Raw genomic sequence first — 22,703 nt, forward strand, 5'->3', positions numbered from 1 at the left:
GTCGTGTGCCTGTCCTAGAGCCAAAATCACCAGCCAGGCCTGGGCACTGGGCTTCAAGGACCAAGAGGCACGAGTGATGGCCCAGAGGAAAGTCGGAGGGAAGCAGGGCCTACCTGTGGAGGTAGGCCCCACTTTGGAGGTAGAATTGAGGAGGTTTTTGTTGTTTTGGGTTTTTTTTTTTTTTTTTAAGACAGGGTCTCACTCTGTCACCCAGGCTGGAATGCAGTGGTGCAGTCATAGCTCACTGCAGCCTTGACCCCCCCGGGCTCAAACGATCCTCCTGCCTCAGCCTCCTGAGTAGCTGGAACTACAGGTGCACACCCCCATGCCTGGCTAATTAAAAAAAAATTTTTTTTTAGTAGAGATGGGGTCTCTCTGTTTTACCCAGGCTGGTCTTGAACTCTTGGCCTCAAGTGATCTTCCAGCCTCAGCCTCCCAAAGTGCTGGGATTGTAAGTGTGAGCCACCGCACACAGCTGAGATCTTTTCGTACCTGTACATGAAGTGCTTTTTGTTCTTTCTGATACTTCATATTCCATTGTATGGATGTGGAGTCATCTCCTGTCCTCTACTGATGGGTATTACGGTTGTGATGCCTGCAATGAACAGTCTTATTTATAGTCTGATTGCGCCTGAGTCCAAGCATACAGCTGTAAAAGAAATTCTAGAAATGGAGGTGCTGGAGCAGAGGACGTGTGTATGTGCACCAGTAGTCACCGCGAAATTACCGCGGGTCTACCAGCTGCCTCCCTCGGCTGGGTGAGGGAAGGGAGGGGCATCCCAGCCTGCAGCGCTGGTTGTCTAGCACCTCTGTGCTGCACATGTTGCCCGCTGGCTACTGGGAGCCAGCACACTGCATGGCAGGGCCTCCTTACAGGCATGTCCCTGGACCTGAGGCCACCTCTCCCCCTGCCCATCGGTTCCTGGAACATGCAGCAGCAGCTACAGAGTGCCTGCACCTCAGGCCCTTTTTGGGGTTGAGGACCCTTGGATGAGATGGGAGATATTTACACACATGCACACGCACACGTGCACAGGCACATGCACACACACACATGCATGCACGCATCCGTGCACACATGCACATGCACACACATACATGCACACACGTACATGCACACACATGCACACAGGCACACACCTGCACACAGGCACACACATGCACACACACGTATGCACACACCATGCGTCCACACATGCACACACACGTATGCACACACCATGCGTCCGCACATGCACACACCTACATGCACACACATACATGCACACACATACAGGTACACACCTGCACACAGGCACATGCATCCACACACATGCACATGCACACACATACATGCACTCACACAGGCACGCATAAACACATGCACATAACACATGCACACACCTGCACTCACACAGGCACACACAAGCACATGCACATATGCACACACATATGCACACATACATGCACACGCACACATACACACATGCACACACTGGAAAAGGAGGCAGCCTTCTTATGATGCATCAGAGGTGGAGGGTTGAGCTGGTGGGGGGAGCTGCTTTCTCTTCTTCGTCCCCACTCTGACCTCCCCTCTCCTACTGGGGTCATCACATCAGCCTGCAGCTGACCTCCCTCCCTTCCGGGCTCGCCTCTGCATGGTCTCCAGAGTGATTTCTTCTCTCTCACACACAAACCTTTCTTGTTTTTTATAATTTAATTTAAAATATTTTTATTATGCAATATTTTAACCATTCTGAAAAATGCAGAAAATCATTTAACAGAGACCCATGTGCCCACCGCCAGCTTTAACAGATGTTAACATTTTGCTTTGTTTGCTTCGGCTCTCCCTCTTTCCTTCATTTTTAAAGAAAGAAAATGTTAGAGATACAACCAAAGCTGCTCCTCAGCCATCCCCCTCCCTTCCCATCCCTCTTTCCCCACAGGCAGCTCCTCTCTGGACAGACCTGACCCTGCCTCTACCCTGTGGAGGGAGCCCGGACACAGCTCTCCAGCTTACCATCTCCTGAAACCCCCAACTCCTGTCCCCCAACTCAGTGAATTTCTAATTGTCCTTCAAGACTGAACTCAGGGCGAGGTGCAGTGGCTCACGCTTGTAATCCCAGCACTTTGGGAGGCTGAGGTAGGCAGATCACCTGAGGTCAGGAGTTGGAGACCAGCCTGGCCAACATGGTGAAACCCCATCTCTACTAAAAATACAAAAGTTAGCCAGGTGTGGTGGCAGGTGCCTGTAATTACAGCTGTTCCTCTGGAGGTTGAGGCAAGAGAATCGCTTGAACCCAGGAGGCAGAGGTTGCAGTGAGCCAAGATTGCACCACTGCACTCCAGCCTGGGCTACAGAGCGAGACTCCATCTCAATTAAAGAAAAAAAAAAAAAGACTGAACTCAGATGAGCCTCTGACACCCTCCAGTGGTTCCTTACCTGCTCCATGTGCCATTGCCCAACATGTTTCTGTCATAGCACACATGACACCATAAAAATGATATGATGGGCTGGGCATAGTGGCTCACGCCTATAATCCCAGCACTTTGGGAGGCTGAGGCAGGAGGATCACTTGAGCCTGGGAGTTCAAGATCAGCCTGGACAACATAGGGAGACCCTATCTCTAAAAAAACAATTTACAAGTTAGCCAGGCATGCTGGCACGCACCCATAATCCCAGCTGAGGTGGGAGGATCGCTTGAGCCCAGGAAGTCAAGGCTAGAGTGAGCCCCATTGCACTCCAGCCTGGGTGACAGAGCAAGACTCTCTCAAAAAAAAAAACCAAAAAAAACGGAAAAACAGACATCACGTGGCTGTTGCCTCCTTTGACAGTAACCCCATTTCATGTTTAGCTTCCTGTATCTGTCACAGCACAGAGCTTGGCACATAGTGGGCCCTAAAGCCATCTTTGCTTGGCTGGAAAGACACCTGGCCCAAATGTTGCAGGCACTGAAAAAATAATTGTTGAATAAATAATTCTGAGTGTTCTAGCAACGCTTCTTGCCCTCTGGTGATCAGGTGACCACCAGGTCCCCTCGTCTGCTGGTTGTTTCGTGAGTTTTCATCCTTTCTGTTTCAAGTGTGCAATTTCCGAATGGCCACCCGCATCATCCCTGCAGCCTGTGGACTCTCAAAACCCAGTCCCTCCTGCTGGGAAGTAAGGGACCAGCTGTTCTGATGGCTCAAAAACCTTCAGCCGTTTGCAATTTTATGATTTGTGAAATCATGAATCAGGAATATAGGAAAAGCCTAAATCTGTCACTATAAGCAGCTAAGTGCTGAATAAAGAAGTTACAAAGCTCGGCTGGGTGCTGTGGCTCATGCCTGTAATCCCAGCACTTTGGGAGGCCAAGGTAGGTGGATCACCTGAGATCGGGAGTTCAAGACCAGCCTGACCAACATGGAGAAGCCCCATCTCTACTAAAAAATATATAAAATTAGCCAGTCATGGTGGCACATGCCTGTAATCCCAGCTACTCAGGAGGCTGAGGCAGGAGAATCGCTTGAACCCAGGAGGTAGAGGTTGCAGTGAGCCGAGATCATGCCATTGCACTCCAGCCTGGGCGACAAGAGCGAAACTCTTGTCTCAAAAAAAAAAAAAAAAAAAAATTGCAAAGCTCTTCATCTCTGTAAAGTGCAATCTGACAATCTGACTGCCCCATTCAGTAGAGAGAGGGACAGGGGAGGTCATCTCATCCATCCCCCTGCCTGGGGTAAGGCCATGTCCACAAGATTTCCCACAGAAGAAAATTTACCTGGTGTGTGTGGCATTCTTTGAAGCATGTCCGCTCTGGAAAATGCCTTTTTCTGTTAAAACTATGCCCACCATACCTTGGTAGAAACCTGTTTCGTCTGTCCATGTTTAAACCATTACTTTAGTCAGCATTGAGCAACTGTGCTGGGGAATCCACTAAGCCTAGGGCGGCATCCAGCCACGTGGCACTCCTGGGGCATGAAGGATCACTAGCCAGTCAACGCCAGAGATGGAGAGCGAGGGGGATCTGGCCTGATCGGCCGGGGTCGCGCAGTAGCTCCCACACTGGTCTCCTGCATGTGCCCTGTCCTCCCGTCCATTCTTCATGAGGCAGCCACAGTGGTCTCCGCAGATTGCCAATCTGTTGTCCCTCTGCCAGCACCTGCCTCTGTTGGGAACCCAGCGAGAAGCAGATCTCCCTCAAGGATTTAACCAAAGGGAGTTGATGCCACTGACAGAGGTGTGGGGAGCTTACGGGAACCATGTGGGAAGATGCTGCATCCAGGGACTAGCCAGAGCAGGAACCTTTATCCACCCCCAAGCCTTGATGGGCTCAGAGGGAGACGGGAGATGTTTCTGAAAGCTGATGAGAGCTGTGGCCCTGGGAGAGGGGCGGCCCAACAGGAGCAGTAGCTGTAAGGGACCAAAGATGACAGCCACTGACAGTTTCATCACAGCCCCTCACAGTGGAAGGGAAGAGAAATAAATACTCCAGCCTCTCTCCTCCCACCTTCCCATTCCCTGCTGGTGCTTCTCATTGGCCAAACTCAGCTGGAAGCCCCAGGGCACAGGAACCCAGGTGACAGAGCTAGAGAGATCTTCCTTCCTGAGCACAGAGCAGGGCAGAGAACGGCAGAATGGATCAGAGGGGGCAGACAGGAAATGGTTTCACCACCAGATCAGATCATTAAATGGTTGCCTGCTCCCATGGTAAGGATAGGAAGTGCTAACTCACCAGGGCCCCGTGTGGCCTTGCCCCTGGTGACCTCATGGCCTCCTGCTCCTTGCCTTCCGGGCCATGCCCACCCTGGCCTTCCCTAGTCGGCTGCTACCTGTGCTGCACCCCCTGGCTGCAGCACTCTCCCCCAGCTCTTCCTCTGGTTCCACTCAGCCCTTAGATCCCAGCTTCATCATCACTTGCTCAGAGAGGCCCTCCCAGATTCTCCCTGTCCAAATCAGGTCTTTCTCTAGTTCTGTCATAACATGCCCTGTTCCCTTTCCTCATCTTTATGAGTTTATCTCTGTGTGTTGATTTGGTATGTCCCTTCTCCTGGACTAGAAGCTCTGGGAAGGCAGGGACCACGTTATCCCCAATGCCTAAGAGCGTGGAGTCCAGGAAGTGCTTGTCAAACAAATGGATGAGTGTCGCACTGTCGCCCTTGTCTAGAGTTGGGGGTAAGGGGAGGGAATCAACAAAACCTGGGCAAGCATGACTTTGGGTTGGAGTTTCATGGAGTGTTTTTAATCCATAATCTCTATTTTTTTAAATTATCCTACAGATGGAAGAGAAACAGTAGGAATTCTGTCTTGACACTGTACTGACAAATAGGTTTTAATCAAGGATGAAAATACCATACATTTTTAGGAAAGCATAGTTAACTTATTGCATCACCCTGTGCCATTAAGAAACATAAAGAGACCGGGTGCAGTGGCTCACACCTGTAATCCCAGCACTTTGGAAGTCCGAGGCGGGCGGATCATGAGGTCAGGAGTTCAAGACCAGCCTGACCAACATGGTGAAACCCTGTCTCTACTAAAAATACAAAAATTAGCCAGGCGTGGTGGTGCATGCCTGTAATCCCAGCTACTCAGGAGGCTGAGGCAGGAGAATCCCTTGAACCCAAGATGCTTGAACCCAGGAGGCAGAGGTTGCAGTGAGCCGAGATCGCGCCACTGCAATCTAGCCAGGGCAACAGAGCAGCAAGACTCTGTCTCAAAAAAAAAAAAAAAAGAAAGAAAGAAAAGAAAAAGAACAGGCTGGGTGCGGTGGCTCACACCTGTAATGCCAGCACTTTGGGAGGCCAAGGCGGGCAGATCACTTGAGGCCAGGAATTCGAGACCAGCCTGGCCAACATAGTGAAACCCCATCCCCATCTCTACCAAAAATACAAAAATTAGCCAGGCATGGTGGTGCACGCCTGTAATCCCAGTTACCCCAGAGACTGAGGTGGGAGAATTGACTGAACCCGGGAGGTGGAGGCTGCAGTGAGCTGAGATCACGCCACTGCACTCCAGCCTGGGCGACAGAGCGAGGCTCCATCTCAAAAAATAATAATAATAGAAGAAACATGAAGAACATAACTCACCTGCCCTGGGTGAATATTCTGGCAGGTGCCTTGGCCTTTTTGTGCACTTTTAGCAATAATCTGCCAAAAGGCCACTGAGCCTCTATTTAATTTGGTCATCAGAGCATCACATCCAAGATATTCATCAAATCTCCAAATGTGACTCATCAACAGATCTTCTCCCTGTCCGGGCTCAGGGCTCCTTCCGCCCAGAAGCCTCGATGGGTTGAGAGCCTGGTTACCTCTCCTGCTTCTGCACCTTGCACTTCTCCTCCTCCCAGCCCTGCTCACTGCCAGTTTCTGACCCATCCAGGGTTGGAGTGTAGGGAGGAAAAGGGAGGCAGGGAAGTGCCATGTGGACTGTGGCTGGAGCTGGCTGGCTGCTCGCCGGGCTCTTCAGGGGCTTCCTGCACAGGCAGGAGACAGATCCCAGTCCGCTCGCTGCTATAAGGATCACCTAGGGGCTGGGCGCAGTGGTTCATGCCTGTAATCCCAGCACTTTGGGAGGCCAGGGTGGGTAGATCACTTGAGGTCAGTAGTTCAAGACCAGCCTGACCAACATGGCGAAACCCTGTCTCTACTAAAAATACAAAATTAGCCAGGCGTTGTAGCAGGTGCCTGTAATCCCAGCTACTTGGGAGGATGAGGCAGGAGAATTGCTTGACCCCGGGAGGCGGAGGTTGTGGTGAGCCGAGATTGTGCCATTGTACTCCAGCCTGAGCTACAGAGTGATACTCCATCTCAGAAAAAAAAAAAAGAGCATTACCTATGGGGTCCCTCCTGCTGCGGGGTGGGGAAGGGAGAGAATGGGGCTCACCCACCAGCTTTCTCCACAAGTTCCTTTTCTCTCTCCATAGTTTAAATAGTGGGAAATGTGGTATAAGAGCTTGGGGGAACAGAGTCTTCAGATCATTTTCTCTTTTTTTTTGACACAGGGTCTCTCTCTGTTGCCCAGCCTGGAGTGCAGTGGCACATTCTTGGCTCACTGCAACCTCCGCCTCCTAGATTCAAGTGATTCTCCTGCCTCAGCCTCCCGAGTAGCTGGGACTACAGGCCTGTGCCACCACACCCAGCCTCATTTTCTCTTTACGCTCTCCTGAGTTGCTATCAGATTTTGATAGCGCCTCCATCAAAACTTCCTGTTACAATGAACTTCCTTTATTAATTTTTTTTCTTCTTTAAACCTCAGCATCTACCAGAGGAATGCAATGAATTTTCAAAATAACCTTTGTTAAGATGACTTACAAGGTATACTTGTGTAACACAAGTGTTCAAAAGAACTAAAACTCATAAACATTCTACATCAGTCAGCTATTCCTACAATAAAGCCGTATAACAAACCACCCAAGGGCTCAGTGACAAACGTTAATGTTTCTTTCTGGCTTACAAAAAATACAAAATTACCCAGGCGTGGTGGTGGGCGCCTGTAATCCCAGCTACTGGGGAGGCAGAGACAGGAGAATCGCCTGAACCCAGGAGACAGAGGTTGCTGTGAGCCGAGATTGCGCCACTGCCCTGAGGGAGTAGGTTTTTGCCAAACTGTAAGATCTGCCACACGGTCTATGTATTTAAAACAGGAATAAGTGAACAGTCCTTGGAGGATTACCCTTTGATGTCAGAGGATGTTCAGACATCTGCTTTATAGAAAATGTGTATGTGCCCTAACACTTTTTTTTTTGAGACAGTCTCGATCTGTGCCCCAGGCTGGAGTGCAGTGGCGCCATCTTGGCTCACTGCAACCTCCGCCTCCCAGGTTCACGCCGTTCTCCTGTCTCAGCCTCCCAAGTAGCTGGGACTACAGGCACCCACCACCACGCCCAGCTAATTTTTGTATTTTTAGTACAGACGGGGCTTTACCATATTGGTCAGGCTGGTCTCGAACTCCTGACCTCAGGTGATCTGCCCGCCTCAGCCTCCCAAAGTGCTGGGATTACAGGTATGAGCCACTGCGCCCAGCCGACTTTTTATTAGATTTCGAATCTGGTTAGCCAGCAACTTACTAATTAGATGTGGACTTTCATTCTTCAGAAGGAAACTGGCCGCGTGTGGTGGCTCACAGCTGTAATCCCAACACTTTGGGAAGCCCAGGAGGTAGGATGGCTTGAGCCCAGGAGTTTGAGACCAGCCTGGGCAACATAGTGAGACCTCGTCTCTACAAAAAATAAACAAAATTGGCTGGGCATGGTGGTATAAGCCTGTAGTCCCAGCTACTTGGGAGGCTGAGGCAGGAGGATTGCTTGAGGACAGGAGGTCAAAGCTGCAGTGCGCTATGATTGCACCATTGCACTCCAGCCTGGGTGACAGAGTGAGACCTGTCTCGATAAAACAAACAAACAAAAAACCCTATTCCTATTTTTTGATCGAATATTTTCTCTCTGAAGTGTCTTAGTGCCTTTCTTCCCACCATCTAAATAATCTCTCCCTCCACAGTATGGCTGTGACCCGATCCAAAGACGCTCCTCCTTTCGGCCCCCCCATCCCCAGTGGAACCACATTCCGCAAATCCGACGTCTTCAGAGACTTCTTGCTGGCCAAGGTGATTAACGCTGAGAACGCCGCGCACAAGTCCGACAAGTTCCACACCATGGCCACCAGGACCCGCCAGGAGTATCTCAAGGACCTGGCCGAAAACTGTGTCTCCAACACCCCCATCGACTCCACCGGCAAATTCAACCTCATCTCCCTGACCTCCAAGAAGAAGGAAAAGACAAAAGCACGGGCTGGCGCTGAGCAGCACAGTGCAGGGGCCATCGCCTGGAGGGTGGTGGCCCAGGACTACGCCCAGGGGGTGGAAATCGACTGCATTTTGGGAATTTCCAATGAGTTTGTGGTGCTCCTGGACTTACGCACCAAGGAGGTGGTGTTCAACTGCTACTGCGGGGATGTCATTGGCTGGACTCCAGACTCCTCCACACTCAAAATCTTCTATGGACGAGGAGACCACATCTTCCTACAGGCGACAGAGGGTTCTGTGGAGGACATAAGGGAGATAGTGCAGAGACTGAAGGTAAGGGAGAGAGCCCGGCGATAGGGCGGCGATTTGTATGGTTTCGGCCTCAGGAACCACTGAAATACTTCCCTAGCCCAGTCAGTTAGGCTAAGACACGCACTGGCCCGGAGAGAATCACAGTTGTCACTTACAAACTAGACATCTTGTGGGTTCTGTAGCTAGGTTCTTCCTCTGGAAGGTTTGTGCCAGAGATCTGTGGATCTTCATGCTATTACCTTGGAAAGACAAGAGATACTTATTAACCTTGGACACTGATAGAAAGTATAAATTTAAGCTTAGGTTAAAAATGTAGGCCAGGCGCCATGGCTCATACCTGTAATCTATCTCAGCACTTTAGGAGGCTGAGGTGGTGGATCGCTTGAGCCCAGGAATTTCCAGACCAACCTGGGTAACCATAGTGAGACTCTGCCTACAAAAAAAAAAAAAAGAAAAGAAAATTAGGGAAGCATGGTGGTACATGCCTGTGGTCCCAGCTACTTGGGAGGCTGAGGTGGGAGGATTGTTTGAGCCCAAGAGGTTGAGGCCACAGTGAGCTGAGATGACGCCACTGCACTTCAGCCTGGGCAACAGTATGAGACCCTGTCTCAAAAACAAACAAAAAAAAAGAAGTGTAAGAGTACTTTCTAAAATAATTAAAATAGAATGAAAAATGTCCAAACCATTAATGGATAGGGCAGAGGTGAGAGGAGGAAAAAATACAAGAAAGCACAAAGGAACATAAAATTACATGGCAGGAATGAGTTCCATGTTAGTAATCACAGTAAATGTGAATGGTTTAACTTGCCCTATTAAAAGACAAAGACTCACAGTCTAGGTAGAAATCTTCCCCTAAACCCCTCGTGGACAAACCAAGAGTGGCAGATTGGTGATAGCTTAGCTGCTGTCTGCCTGAAGCATTGTGCTGAGAAGTACTCAGGCCCCATCTAAGCTCCACAAGAAAGAACACTGTGGTCAGTGATTGCCTCTGCAGTGGGTTTGGCAGAACGCCGTGCCATGTGTGCTAAATAGAGATAGCATATAACACGGCAGTTCAGAGCACAAGATCTAGTCAGAAGGCCTGGCTTCAAGTCCCAGCACTGCCACTTACCAGCTGCATGACCTTGAGCCAAGTTATTTAGCTTCTTTGTGATTCAGTTTCTTCATCTGAAAAGCAGGTACAAGAATCATTCTGCATTGCTGGGTGCAGTGGCTCATGCCTATAATCCCAACACTTTGGGAGGCCGAGGAGAAAGGATTGCTTGAGCCCAGGAGTTTGAGACCAGCCTGGGCAATACAGTGAGATGCCGTTTCTAAAAAAAAAATAAAAAAATAAATTAGCCGAGGCAGGTAGATCATGAGGTCAGGAGATCAAGACCATCCTGGCTAATACGGTGAAACCCCATCTCTACTAAAAATACAAAAAATTAGCCAGGCATGGTGGTGGGCGCCTGTAGTCCCGGCTACTTGGGAGGCTGAGGCAGGAGAATGGTGTGAACCCGGAAGGCGAGGCTTGCAGTGAGCTGAGATCACGCCACTGCGCTCCAGCCTGGGTGACAGTGCTAGACTCTGTCTCAAAAAATAAAAATAAAAAATAGGCCGGGCGTGGTGGCTCACGCCTGTAATCCCAGCACTTTGGGAGGCCGAGGTGGGCAGATCACAAGGTCAGGAGATTGAGACCATCCTGGCTAACACAGTGAAACCCCGTCTCTATTAAAAATACAAAAATTAGCCAGGCATGGTGGCGGGTGCCTGTAGTCCCAGCTACTCGGGAGGCTGAGGCAGGAGAATGGCGTGAACCTGGGAGGCGGAGGTTGCAGTGAGCCGAGACCCTGCCACTGCACTCCAGCTTGGGTGACAGAGCGAGACTCCGTCTCAAAAAAAAATAAATAAACAAACAAAAAATAAATTAGCTGGGCATGGTGGTGCACACTTGTGGCCTCAACTATTCAGGAGGCTGAGTGGGATGATCACTTGAGCCCAGGAGTTTGAGGCTGCAGTGAGCTATGATCACACCACTGCACTCGAACCTCGGCAACAGAGAAAGACCCGGACTCAAAAAAAAAAATGAAAAAGTGGCCAGGCGCGGTGGCTCACACCTGTAATCCCAGCACTTGGGGAGGCCGAGGTGGATGGATTATTTCAGGTCAGGGGTTCAAGACCAGCCTGGCCAACATGGTAAAACCTCATCTCTACTAAAAATACAAAAATTAGCCAGGCGTGGTGGCACACACCTGTAATCCCAGCTACTCGGGAGGCCGAGGGAAAAGAATTGCTTGAATCCGAGAGGCAGAGGTTGCAGTGAGCTGAGAGTGAGCCACTGCACTCCAACGTGGGTGACAGAGCAAAACTCTGTCTCAAAAAAACAAACAAAAGCAAACTCCTGTGTTCCTCCCCACCCCTCTCAGAGGTTTCCTGACTTTGTAAAATAGAAGTCCTCTACTCAAATAAGGTTTTAGGGAAAAAAAGGTCGACTCCATCCCTCCATTTGCGGATGTCAGAGCTTTGGCATCAGCCTGGGCTCCACTCTCTCTCATGCCCACATTCGTCAGCTCCACTTCTGTAGGCAGGCATCAGCCACCTCTCCCAGAGCCCTCACCCTGGAGCGAGCCACCCTGGTCTCTCCCGGACACTTTCGATGGTGTCCTTTCTGGTCCTTCTTACCCCTGCCCTTGCTTCTCTGTGGCCTGTTCTCGACGTGGTAGTGAGAGCAATCTGATCACATCACCTCTCTGCCTAAACCCTCAGGTCACTCTAGGTTAAAGCCTCAGTCCTTACAGAAGCCCATGAGGCCGGGTGTGAACTGGCTCCCTGTCGACTTCTCTGACCTCATGTCACTGTTGCGCTCTCTGCCCCAGCCATGAAGACCTCTGAGGTTTCATGCGCATGCTAGGGCGGCGTCCAGCCTCAGGGCCTTTGTACCACCTCTTGCTGGAACACTTCTCTGATCACCACATGGCTCGCTCCCTTTCCTCCTACAGGCCTTTGGTCACATGTCGCCTTGTCGGTGAGGCCTCGTTATCTAAGATTGCACACCCCCTCCCCTGGCTTGGAGCACATTCACGCGCTTTGCCTGCTTAACCACCATCTGCCATGCACTGTGTGTTATCTGTTCACTGCCGTGTCCTCAGCACCTGGGCCAGCATCTGGTGCACAGTAGCCGCTGAGTGAGCAGGAACCGAGTGCAGGCACAAATGCGTCGTATGCTATAGTGGCCGCAATAGTGAGGATCAAATGGGCGCCAGCTCTGCGTCAGACCCTGCTCAGCACCTTGGGTGGTCTTGCGTCTCTTGCTCACAAAAGCCTGATGAGGTCCTCACTTCGCAGATGAGGAAACTGAGGCCCAGAGATACCTTGACTTGCCCAGAGCCCAAAGAGCCTGGGTTTTGGAGTTTTTTTTTTGTTTTTTTTGTTTTTTTTTTAATTGATCATTCTTGGGTGTTTCTCACAGAGGGGGATTTGGCAGGGTCATAGGACAATAGTGGAGGGAAGGTCAGCAGATAAACAAGTGAACAAAGGTCTCTGGTTTTCCTAGGCAGAGGACCCTGCGGCCTTCCGCAGTGTTTGTGTCCCTGGGTACTTGAGATTAGGGAGTGGTGATGACTCTTAAGGAGCATGCTGCCTTCAAGCATCTGTTTAACAAAGCACATCTTGCACCGCCCTTAATCCATTAACCCTGAGTGGACACAGCACATGTTTCAGAGAGCACAGGGTTGGGGGTAAGGTCACAGATCAACAGGATCCCAAGGCCGAAGAATTTTTCTTAGTACAGAACAAAATGAAAAGTTTCCCATGTCTATTTCTTTCTACACAGACACGGCAACCATCCGATTTCTCAATCTTTTCCCCACCTTTCCCCCCTTTCTATTCCACAAAACCGCCATTGTCATCATGGCCCGTTCTCAATGAGCTGATGGGTACACCTCCCAGACGGGGTGGCGGCCGGGCAGAGGGGCTCCTCACTTCCCAGTAGGGGTGGCCGGGCAGAGGCGCCCCTCACCTCCCGGACAGGGCGGCTGGCCGGGCAGAGGGGCTCCTCACTTCCCAGTAGGGGCGGCCGGGCAGAGGCGCCCCTCACCTCCCGGACGGGGTGGCTGGCCGGGCGGGGGGCCAACCCCCCCCCACCTCCCTCCCGGACGGGGCGGATGGCCGGGCAGAGGGGCTCCTCACCTCCCAGTAGGGGCGGCTGGGCAGAGGCGCCCCTCACCTCCCGGACGGGGCGGCTGGCCGGGCGGGGGGCTGACCCCCCACCTCCCTCCCGGACGGGGTGGCTGCCGGGCGGAGACGCTCCTCACTTCCCAGACGGGGTGGTTGCTGGGCGGAGGGTCTCCTCACTTCTCAGACGGGGCAGCTGCCGGGCGGAGGGGCTCCTCACTTCTCAGATGGGGCGGTTGCCAGGCGGAGGGTCTCCTCACTTCTCAGACGGGGCGGCCGGGCAGAGACGCTCCTCACCTCCCAGACGGGGTCGCGGCCAGGCAGAGGCGCTCCTCACATCCCAGACGGGGTGGCGGGGCAGAGGCGCTCCCCACATCTCAGACGATGGGCGGCCGGGCAGAGACGTTCCTCACTTCCTAGATGGGATGGCGGCCGGGAAGAGGCGCTCCTCACTTCCTAGATGGGATGGCAGCCGGGCAGAGACGCTCCTCACTTTCCAGACTGGGCAGCCAGGCAGAGGGGCTCCTCACGTCCCAGACGATGGGCGGCCAGGCAGAGACGCTCCTCACTTCCCAGACGGGGTGGCGGCCGGGCAGAGGCTGCACTCTTGGCACTTTGGGAGGCCAAGGCAGGCGGCTGGGAGGTGGAGGTTGTAGCAAGCCGAGATCACGCCACTGCACTCCAGCCTGGGCACCATTGAGCACTGAGTGAACCAGACTCCGTCTGCAATCCCGGCACCTCGGGAGGCTGAGGCTGGCGGATCACTCGCGGTTAGGAGCTGGAGACCAGCCCGGCCATCACAGCGAAACCCCGTCTCCACCAAAAAAATACGAAAACCAGTCAGGTGTGGCGGCGCGCGCCTGCAATCGCAGGCACTCCGCAGGCTGAGGCAGGAGAATCAGGCAGGGAGGTTGCAGTGAGCCGAGATGGCAGCAGTACAGTCCAGCTTCGGCTCGGGATCAGAGGGAGACTGTGGAAAGAGAGGGAGAGGGAGACCGTGGGGAGAGGGAGAGGGAGAGGGAGCTGTTTTGTTTTTTGAGATGGAGTCTTGCTCTGTCCCCCAGGCTGGAGTGCAGCAGAGCGATCTCGGCTCACTGCAACCTCCACCTCCCGGGTTCAAGCATTTCTCCTGTCTCAGCCCCCCAGGTAGCTGGGACTACAGGCGCCCGCCACCATGCTCAGCTAATTTTTGCCTTTTTAATAGAGATAGGGTTTCGCCATGTTGGCCAGGCTAGTCTCGAACTCCTGGCCTCAAGTGATCCACCCTCCCTGGCCTCCCAAAGTGCTAGAATTACAGGCCTGAGCCACTGTGCCCGGCCAAGCCTGGGTTCTTAAACACTAGGCTACTCCGCCTCCCCTAATCTTGACAGCAGCTCGCGTTTCTTGAGCAGGGACCATGCCAGGCACCATGCCAGGTGACATGTTTTACCCACATCCTCACTGTGCCACTCTGTCCCACACCCACCCCCGTGCCTACTGTTGGCGGAGTCCTTTTGGAGCATATTTCCACAGCCATACCCCCACCCCCACCCCCAGTCTCAGTGCCCCAGAGCCTGCTGGGGAACCAGTGGGCCAGGGAATGGTGACATAAGCCATCTCCCGTGGAGGGGCAGGCCCGTTTTGAATGACTTGTGACAGTGAGTCTCTCTCTTTGTGAAGCACCCACAGGGTACAGATTCCACACTCTCCCCGGCAGGCTGACTCAACTGCCCCAGACATCCTGAACTAACGGTATCCCATCACTGGTTAATTGAATGAGTGTTGTTATGCGCCTGGCCTTGGCCTGGCCAGTGCTGGGACATAGTGATGACCATAACAGACCCAGGCCTACTTTCATGGTGCTCCTCTCTGGGACAGATATTAAACACGCAATTCGGCCAAGCGCGGTGGCTCACGCCTGTAATCCCAGCACTTTGGAAGGCCGAGGCGGGTGGATCACCAGGTCAAGAGATCGAGACCATCCTGGCCAACATGGTGAAACCCCATCTCTACTAAACATACGAAAAAATTAGCCGGGCGTGGTGGCGGGCTCCTGTAGTCCCAGCTACTCAGGAGGCTGAGGCAGAAGAATGGCGTGAACCCGGGAGGCGGAGGTTGCAGTGAGCCGAGATTGCACCACTGCACTCCAGCACTCCAGCCTGGTGACAGAGTGAGGCTCCATCTCAAAAACAAAAACAAAAACAAAACAAAACAAAAAAAAACACCACGCAATTGAAGTGCCAAGAGCTTAAAAGGGGGGTGTGGAGGATGCCAGGAGAACCTATCAGATGGTGCTAAATCAGACAAGGAGAAGGTCTCAAATCCACAGGTTGGATACAGTCCCAGATGTATTTAGTTAGTTACCACAGTTTAACATTTAGAGCAAGCTTGTCCAACCTGCAGCCCAAGAGGGCTTTGAATGGCACCCAACACAGATTCATAAAGTTTCTTAAAACATTATGACATTGTGAGTTTTTTTGTGATTTTTTTAAGCTTATCAGCTATCATTAATGTTAGTGTATTTCATGTGAGGCCCAAGACAATTCTTTTTTTTTTTCTTTAAGACAGTCTCTCTCTGTTGCCTAGGCTGGAGTGCCATGGTGCAATCTCAGCTCACTGCAACCTCCGCCTCCCCGGTTCAAGCGATTCTCCTGCCTCAGCCTCCCAAGTAGCTGGGATTACAGATGTGCACCACCATGCCCAGCTAATTTTGTATTTTTAGTAGAGACGGGGTTTCACCATGTTGCCCAGGCCGGTCTTGAACTCCTGACCTGAGGTGATCTGCCCACCTCAGCCTCCCAAAGTGCTGGAATTGCAGGCATGAGCCACTGTGCCCGGCCCAATTTTACTTTTTAATTATAGAAAATTGCAAGCATACACTAAAGCAAAGGGAATCATATAAGAACCCCAGTCTTGGCCGGCTGCAGTGGCTCACACCTGTAATCCCAGCACTTTGGGAGGCCAAGGCAGTTGGATCACCAGAGGTCAGGATTTCGACACCAGCCTGACCGACATGGAGAAACCCCGTCTCTACTAAAAATACAAAATTAGCTGGGTGTGGTGGCGCATGCCTGTGATCCCAGCTACTTGGGAGGCTGAGGCAGGAGAATTGCTTGAATCCAGGAAGCGGAGGTTGCGATGAGCCAAGATTGTGCCATTGCACTCCAGCCTGGGCAACAAGAGCGAAACTCCGTCTCAAAAAAAAGAGAACCCCAGTCTTCATTACCATCTACAATAGTTACTGACCCATGGCTGATCTTGTTCTTTCTTCCTTCCCTCTCTTTCCCAATTATTTTGAAGAAATCCTAGACATCTTATCATTTCATCTGTAAATTTTTCAATATTTATTTCTAAAAGATACAACTCTTAAAACATAACATAGCCATCATACATAAAATAAAAAATTAACGATAATTCCTTATTGTCAAATAAACACATTGTCACCCATGAGTGGGCTATAAAATCAATCACAGAGATGTAATTTTTTTTATTTTTAATTTTAACTTTAATTTTTAAAGACAAGGTCTTGGTGTCACCCCGGCTGGAGTGCAGTGGCACAGTCATCGCTCACTGCAGTGTCACTCTCCTGGGCTCAAGCCTGCCTCCCACCTCAGCCTCCCAAGTAGCTGGGACTGCAAGCGTATGCCACCATGCTCAGCTAATTTTTTTTTTATTTTATTTTTAGTAGAGATGAAGTCTTGCTATATTGCCCAGGCTCATCTTGAACTCCTGGGCTCAAGCAGTCCTCCTGCCTTGGCCTCCTAAAAGTGTTGAGATTACAGAGATTACAGGTGTGAGGCACTGCACTCAGCCCGAGTTGCAACAGTGTTAAAGGTTAGATATCTTAGTCCACTTAGCCTGAATATAACAACATAGCTTAGGTGGGGTAGCTTATAAGCAAAAGCAATTTATTTCTTCGCATTTCTGGAGGCCAGGAAGTCCAAGATAAAGGTACCCGCAGGTTCTGTATCTGGTGAGGGCCCCTTTCAACTTCACGGATGGCACCTTCTTGCTGTCATGGTGGAAGAGGTGAACAAGTTCCTTGGGCCTCTTTTTTTTTTTTTTTTTTTTTTTTTTTTGAGACAGTCTCGCTCTGTCGCCCAGGCTGGAGTGCAGTAGCGTGATCTCGGCTCACTGCAACCTCTGCCTCCTGTGTTCAAGCGATTCTCCTGTGTCAGCCCCCTGAGTAGCTGGGATTACAGGCGTATACCACCACGTCAGGCCTCTTTTATATGGGCACTGATCCCCTTCATGAGGGTTCTGCCGTAGTAATAGGATGGGAAAGAATAAAAAGTGTCACAGTGTGCCTCAGTGAGTAAAGATAAGACTATTTTATGAAGCATTGTTTTGGTCACACGTTTCCCCCACTTTCCAAATTCTCGCCGTCCAAATCAGGAACCAAACAGATTCAGTGACATTTTCAGGTAAGTACTTTACCATCCAAATGCTTACTTCTTGCTATCCACACTCAAGAATGTGACGGATTTGAATTGCAAGGAATATTTGTGTCTGTGGGCATGTGTGTAAAACACGAATGTGTAGAGTAGTTTGTGACGTAAAATTATTTCTAAAACACGAATTTGTAGAGTAGTTTGTGACATAAAATTATTTCTTTCCTTGGCCGGGCGCAGTGGCTCACGCCTGTAATCCCAGCACTTTGGGAGGCCGAGACAGGTGAATCACTTGAGGTCAGGAGTTCGAGACCAGCCTGGCCAACATGGTAAAACCCCATCTCTACTAAAAGTACCAAAATTAGCTGGGTGTGGTGGCAGATGCCTGTAATCCCACCTACTCGGGAGGCTGAGACAGGAGAATTGCTTGAACCAGGGAGGCGGAGGTGGCAGTGAGCTGAGATCGGGCCACTGCACTCCAGCCTGGGCGACAGCGAGACTCCGTCTTAAAAAAAAAAAAATTTATTCCTTTCTTCAAGTGGTGGTGAGAAAAGTATGAAAGCGGGCATCCTGATAGGTATGTTACATAGCATCATTTCTAGCCAGGGGATGACTTCTCACAGGAAATGTAAGCCATTCCGTTATCTTTCCATAACGCAGTTTTAGGAAAGGGCAGGCATTCTTGACAACTTGCTTAATAGCCATGGCTGGTTACATTCATCTTGTTTTTATCCCAAGAAGAGGGGATCGCTTAACAGCATGCTGGGGGGAGGGGGCAGGGCTCTATTCAGCAGGTCCTCAGATCTTATGGTAACACATTATCCAGGGGAATATCTCACCCAGTGAAGCAGGGAGTCCTGGAGGCCAGGCCCTGCGTGGTCCGATCAGCTCCATGTTGGGGGAAGGTCTGAGGAGGAGATGGGGAAAGGGTTTCTTCCTCCAAGAATGGTGTCACGAGGCCGGGCATGGTGGCTCACGCCTGTAATCCCAGCACTTTGGGAGGCCGAGGCGGGCAGATCATGAGGTCAGGAGTTCGAGACCAGCCTGACCAATATGGTGAAACCCCGTCTCTACTAAAAATACAAAAAACTAGCCGGGCATGGTGGCGCGTGCCTGTAATCCCTGCTACTGGGGAGGCTGAGGCAGGATACTTGCTTGAACCCGGGAGGCGGAGGTTGCAGTGAGCCGAGATCACGCCACTGCACTCCAGCCTGGGCGACAGAGCGAGACTCTGTCTCAAAAAAAAAAAAAAAGAATGGTGTCACGAAGTAAAAGAATATAATGTGAGTTCCCAACCTAGAAAAGGTCCCAGTACTTCTGGTCTCATGCTTCCTTGTGTATTTTAGTTAGAGTCATTGTGTCAGTCAGGATACAGTATTAGTGGCTTAAAGCAGGTTTGGCTGGGTGTGGTGGCTCTCACCTGTAATCCTAGCACTTTGGGAGGCTGAGGCAGGTGGATCATCTGAGGTCAGGAGTTCAAGACTAGCCTGGCCAATATGGCAAAACCCTGTCTCTACTAAAAATACAAAAATTAGCCAGGCGTGGTAGCAGACGCTTGTAATCCCAGCTACTCAGGAGGCTGAGGCAGGAGAATCGCTTGAACCCAGGAAGCAGACGTTGCAGTGAGCTGAGATCATGCCGCTGCACTTCAGCCTGGGCGACAGAGCAAGTCTCCGTCTCAAAAATAAATAAATAATAAAATGATGAAATAAATACCACAGCCCAGAGGACATGGCAGTGCCACTCGCAACTCTTTGGCCAAAACAAGTCCCAGGGCCCCACCCAACCACAAGGGAGCCAAGAAGTGCAATCCCACTGACCCCAGGAAGGAGGGAGTTCGGGGCCTTTGGAGCCACAGCTCATGACTGCCATGGTCTCTGCAAGGTTAGAAGCCACGGGGTCGCATATCCACATTTCCCCTCCAGAAATCAGGAAGCCAGGCTGGGACCGGGTGCGTGTTCCCCCTGCGGGTCCCCTGCCATCACCCGGGAAGGTATTAATAGATGGGAGTTGGCAGGTTTTTGGCTTCAAAGCGGGGAACGTGACCAGGGGTCTTCCAGAGGAGCTGACCCAAGCAGCTTCTGAGGCTCGATCCTGCCTGTGGCCTGCAGGTGATGACCAGTGGCTGGGAGACGGTGGACATGACGCTTCGGCGGAACGGGCTCGGGCAGCTGGGCTTCCACGTGAAGTACGACGGCACGGTGGCCGAGGTTGAGGACTATGGGTTCGCCTGGCAGGCCGGCCTCCGGCAGGGCAGCCGACTAGTGGAGATCTGCAAGGTGGCCGTGGTCACACTGACCCACGACCAGATGATCGACCTGCTGCGCACCTCTGTCACTGTGAAGGTGGTCATCATCCCGCCTTTTGAGGACGGCACTCCCCGGAGGTAAGGGCCTCCACCTTTCAGCCAGGTGGTGGGTGGCAGCTCCCAGATCGCTGGCATGAGGCCTCCCTGGCACTGTCACTTGAGGTCCCAATAGAGGGGGGATAGGCAGGCCCTTCTAGGCAGGAATAGTGGCAACAGTGACAGGACGGGGAGGGCACATCTACAGAGCGCTTACTGTATGCCAGTTATTGGTTTAGCCCTTCATACGTGCATGATCGCATTTAATCTCCACAGTTGCCCTGTGAGGGGAGAGCCTCATTCTTCCCATTTCCTACATGAAGCACAGGATGTTAATAGTTGCTTGCCTGTGGGCCCCCCACACTTCATTCATTTGTTCAAAATGTGTTTATTGAGCCCCTACTGTGTGCAAGCTCTGTTCAAAGTGACCACAACAAAGTGCCTGCTCCCTTGCGGTTTGTGTTCTACAGGGAAAGACAGGCCGTGAAGAAATAGGTGTGTCATACCGGATCAGGTAGTACTAAGTCTCAGAAGGAAATTAAAGCAGGGTAATGAAGGGGCTGCAGCACGATGGGAGAGCTGCTTACAAGGCGGGCAGAGAAGGCTCCACGAGGCTCCACAGGGAGGCAGCCATGTGGTTTTCTGGCCAGCGGGCTCCAGACAGGAGCTGGCCAGGGCACAGCCTCCCCAGTGTACATGGGTGATGTGTTCCTGGAGTACGGGGAGGCCCATGTGGCTGGAGCAGAGCGAGCAGGAGTGAGAGCTGAGAGCAAAGGACAGAGAGGTGACCAGGCAGGCGGTGTGGGCTTCATGGGTTTTATTCCATGCTTGGGTTTTATTCCATGCTCAGTGGGAAGCTGGTAGGTGACTTATTTATTTTGTTTTGTTTTTTCTTTTGTTGTTTTTGTTTTTTGTTTTTTTAGATGGAGTCTCGCTCTGTCGCCCAGGCTGAAGTGCAGTGGCGTGATCTCAACTCACTGCAACCTCCACCTCCCGGGTTCAAGCGATTCTCCTGCCTCAGCCTCCCGAGTAGCTGGGACTACAGGCACGTGCCACCACGCCCAGCTAATTTTTGTATTTTTAGTAGACACGGGGTTTCACCATGTTGTCCAGGATGGTCTCAATCTCTTGTCCTCGTGATCCACGTGCCTCGGCCTCCCAAAGTGCTGGAGTTAACAGGCGTGAGCCACTGCGTCCAGCCAACAGCAATTTCGTAGTGTCAACTATCTAGACTGGGTTCACACCTGTAATCGTAACACTCTGGGAGGCTGAGGTGGGAAGATCACTTGAGGCCAGGAGTTCAAGACCAGCCTGGCCAACACAGTGAGACCCCGTCTCTGCATCTCTGCATCTCTGCCTAAAGGAGAAAAAAAAAACAGTGCAGTTGTAGCCCCAGCTATTTTCAGGCTGAGGTGGGAAAATCACTTGAGCCTAGGAAGTTGAGGCTGCAGGGAGCCATGATTGTGCCACTGCACTCCAGCCTGGGCAACAGAGGGAGACCTCATCTCTTTGTTTTTTAAACAGTTGTTCATCAGAATTCTCCTATTGGCCGGGTGTGGTGGCTCACACCTGTAACCTCAGCACTTCGGGAGGCCGAGGCGGGCGGATCACCAGGCGGGAGTTCAAGACCAGCCTGAACCAGGCTGGAGTCCAAGACCAGCCTGACCAATGTGGAGAAACACTGTCTCTACTAAAAATACAAAATTAGCTGGGCGTGGTGGCGCATGCCTGTAATCCCAGCTACTCGGGAGGCTGAGGCAGGAGAATTGCTTGAACCCGGGAGGCAGAGGTTGCGGTGAGCTGAGATCGTGCCATTGCACTCCAGCCTGGGCAACAAGAATGAAGCTACGTCTCAAAAAAAAAAAAAAAGAAAAAAAGAATTCTCCTATTGCATTTGATTCATGTATCTCTTGAGGCTCTTTTTTTTTTTGCTTTGAGACAGAGTCTTGCTCTGTCACCCAGGCTGGAGTGCAGTGGCGCAATCTTGGCTCACTGCAACCTCCGCCTCCTGGGTTCCAGCGATTCTCCTGTGTCAGCCTCCTGAGTAGCTGGGATTACAGGCATGTAGCACCACACCTGGCTAAATTTCATATTTTTAGTAGAGCTGGGGTTTCACCATGTTGGCCAGGCTGGTCTTGAACTCCTGACTTCAGGTGTTCCACCCACCTCAGCCACCCAAAGTGCTGGGATTACAGATGTGAGCCACCGCGCCTGGCCTTTTCCTTGCAGTTTATTTTGGAAAGAAACCAGGTCACCTGTCCTTAGAGCTTCCCCCTTCCTGGCTTTAGCTGGCGGCCTCCCCATGGTGTCCTTTAGCCTATTGCTCCACCACTGGTATTTTCTGTAAACTAGAGTCAAAGATGGAAGCTTGCTTAGGCCCCAATGGGATGTCTTTCGGCCGCAGCACTCCTAGGTATGCATCTGTGAGAAGGCACTGCGTGCCTGGTCTCCCCCTGCAAGTGACACTAGGGGCAAGCAGAGGCTTCAGACAGCGGCACCTGGCCATCACCACATGTCCCCTCCAGTCCTGTTTCACAGCCCAGCAGCCACTGCTAGGCCCTGCCTAGATCCATCATTTCATGACGGTTTGCAGACGAGTGCCATCTTCATTCTGTCATTCCTTCTTCATATATTGGCTGGAATGCTTCTAAAAAGAGCTTTCTTTCAGTAACCGTTTAGTTACCCTGAGGTATAATTTGTACAGAGAAGACAAGATAAATACAGTTTTCAGAATAATGAGTTGGTCCCTAGCAACCTCCAGAAGTGACCAATGAGAGAGACGCACCATGTTCTCAGCTCTGGAAACAGTGCACAGAGGACAGCCAAG

At 51.5% G+C, this 22,703-nt stretch overlaps 1 protein-coding gene across 8 annotated transcripts in view, besides 6 other annotated features; it reads left to right on the forward strand.

Moving 5' to 3' along the window:
• SIPA1L3 (signal induced proliferation associated 1 like 3) overlaps positions 1–22,703 on the forward strand; it is a 301,162-nt gene that overhangs the window by 203,647 nt on the left and 74,812 nt on the right. For 7 of the 8 annotated variants that reach the window (XM_047438486.1, NM_015073.3, XM_017026518.3 and 4 more), the window contains 2 exons: positions 8,452–9,028; positions 19,644–19,918. In XM_047438486.1, coding sequence (XP_047294442.1) covers positions 8,452–9,028; positions 19,644–19,918 — 852 coding nt within the window. The remainder of the gene's footprint in view (positions 1–8,451; positions 9,029–19,643; positions 19,919–22,703) is intronic. The other variant, XM_047438490.1, reaches the window with a different exon arrangement.
• Positions 1,057–1,674: an enhancer, noted in NCBI's record as "H3K27ac-H3K4me1 hESC enhancer chr19:38602551-38603168 (GRCh37/hg19 assembly coordinates)". NCBI's record gives its function as "activates a minimal SCP1, AML or CMV promoter by ChIP-STARR-seq in primed H9 embryonic stem cells {active_cell/tissue: H9 hESC(primed)}" and the evidence as "EXISTENCE:reporter gene assay evidence [ECO:0000049][PMID:30033119]".
• Positions 8,473–8,676: a silencer, noted in NCBI's record as "fragment chr19:38609967-38610170 (GRCh37/hg19 assembly coordinates)". NCBI's record gives its function as "represses an EF-1alpha promoter that drives an FKBP-Casp9 reporter gene in an ReSE screen in K562 erythroleukemia cells {active_cell/tissue: K562}" and the evidence as "EXISTENCE:reporter gene assay evidence [ECO:0000049][PMID:32094911]".
• Positions 9,902–10,102: a silencer, noted in NCBI's record as "peak3469 fragment used in MPRA reporter construct". NCBI's record gives its function as "represses an SCP1 promoter by STARR-seq MPRAs in K562 erythroleukemia cells {active_cell/tissue: K562}" and the evidence as "EXISTENCE:reporter gene assay evidence [ECO:0000049][PMID:32103011]".
• Positions 19,246–19,746: an enhancer, noted in NCBI's record as "H3K4me1 hESC enhancer chr19:38620740-38621240 (GRCh37/hg19 assembly coordinates)". NCBI's record gives its function as "activates a minimal SCP1, AML or CMV promoter by ChIP-STARR-seq in primed H9 embryonic stem cells {active_cell/tissue: H9 hESC(primed)}" and the evidence as "EXISTENCE:reporter gene assay evidence [ECO:0000049][PMID:30033119]".
• Positions 19,747–20,247: an enhancer, noted in NCBI's record as "H3K4me1 hESC enhancer chr19:38621241-38621741 (GRCh37/hg19 assembly coordinates)". NCBI's record gives its function as "activates a minimal SCP1, AML or CMV promoter by ChIP-STARR-seq in naive H9 embryonic stem cells {active_cell/tissue: H9 hESC(naive)}" and the evidence as "EXISTENCE:reporter gene assay evidence [ECO:0000049][PMID:30033119]".
• Positions 21,728–22,228: an enhancer, noted in NCBI's record as "H3K27ac hESC enhancer chr19:38623222-38623722 (GRCh37/hg19 assembly coordinates)". NCBI's record gives its function as "activates a minimal SCP1, AML or CMV promoter by ChIP-STARR-seq in naive H9 embryonic stem cells {active_cell/tissue: H9 hESC(naive)}" and the evidence as "EXISTENCE:reporter gene assay evidence [ECO:0000049][PMID:30033119]".

The sequence above is a fragment of the Homo sapiens genome, chromosome 19, assembly GCF_000001405.40.
Source record: "Homo sapiens chromosome 19, GRCh38.p14 Primary Assembly".
Lineage (NCBI taxonomy): Eukaryota > Metazoa > Chordata > Mammalia > Primates > Hominidae > Homo > Homo sapiens.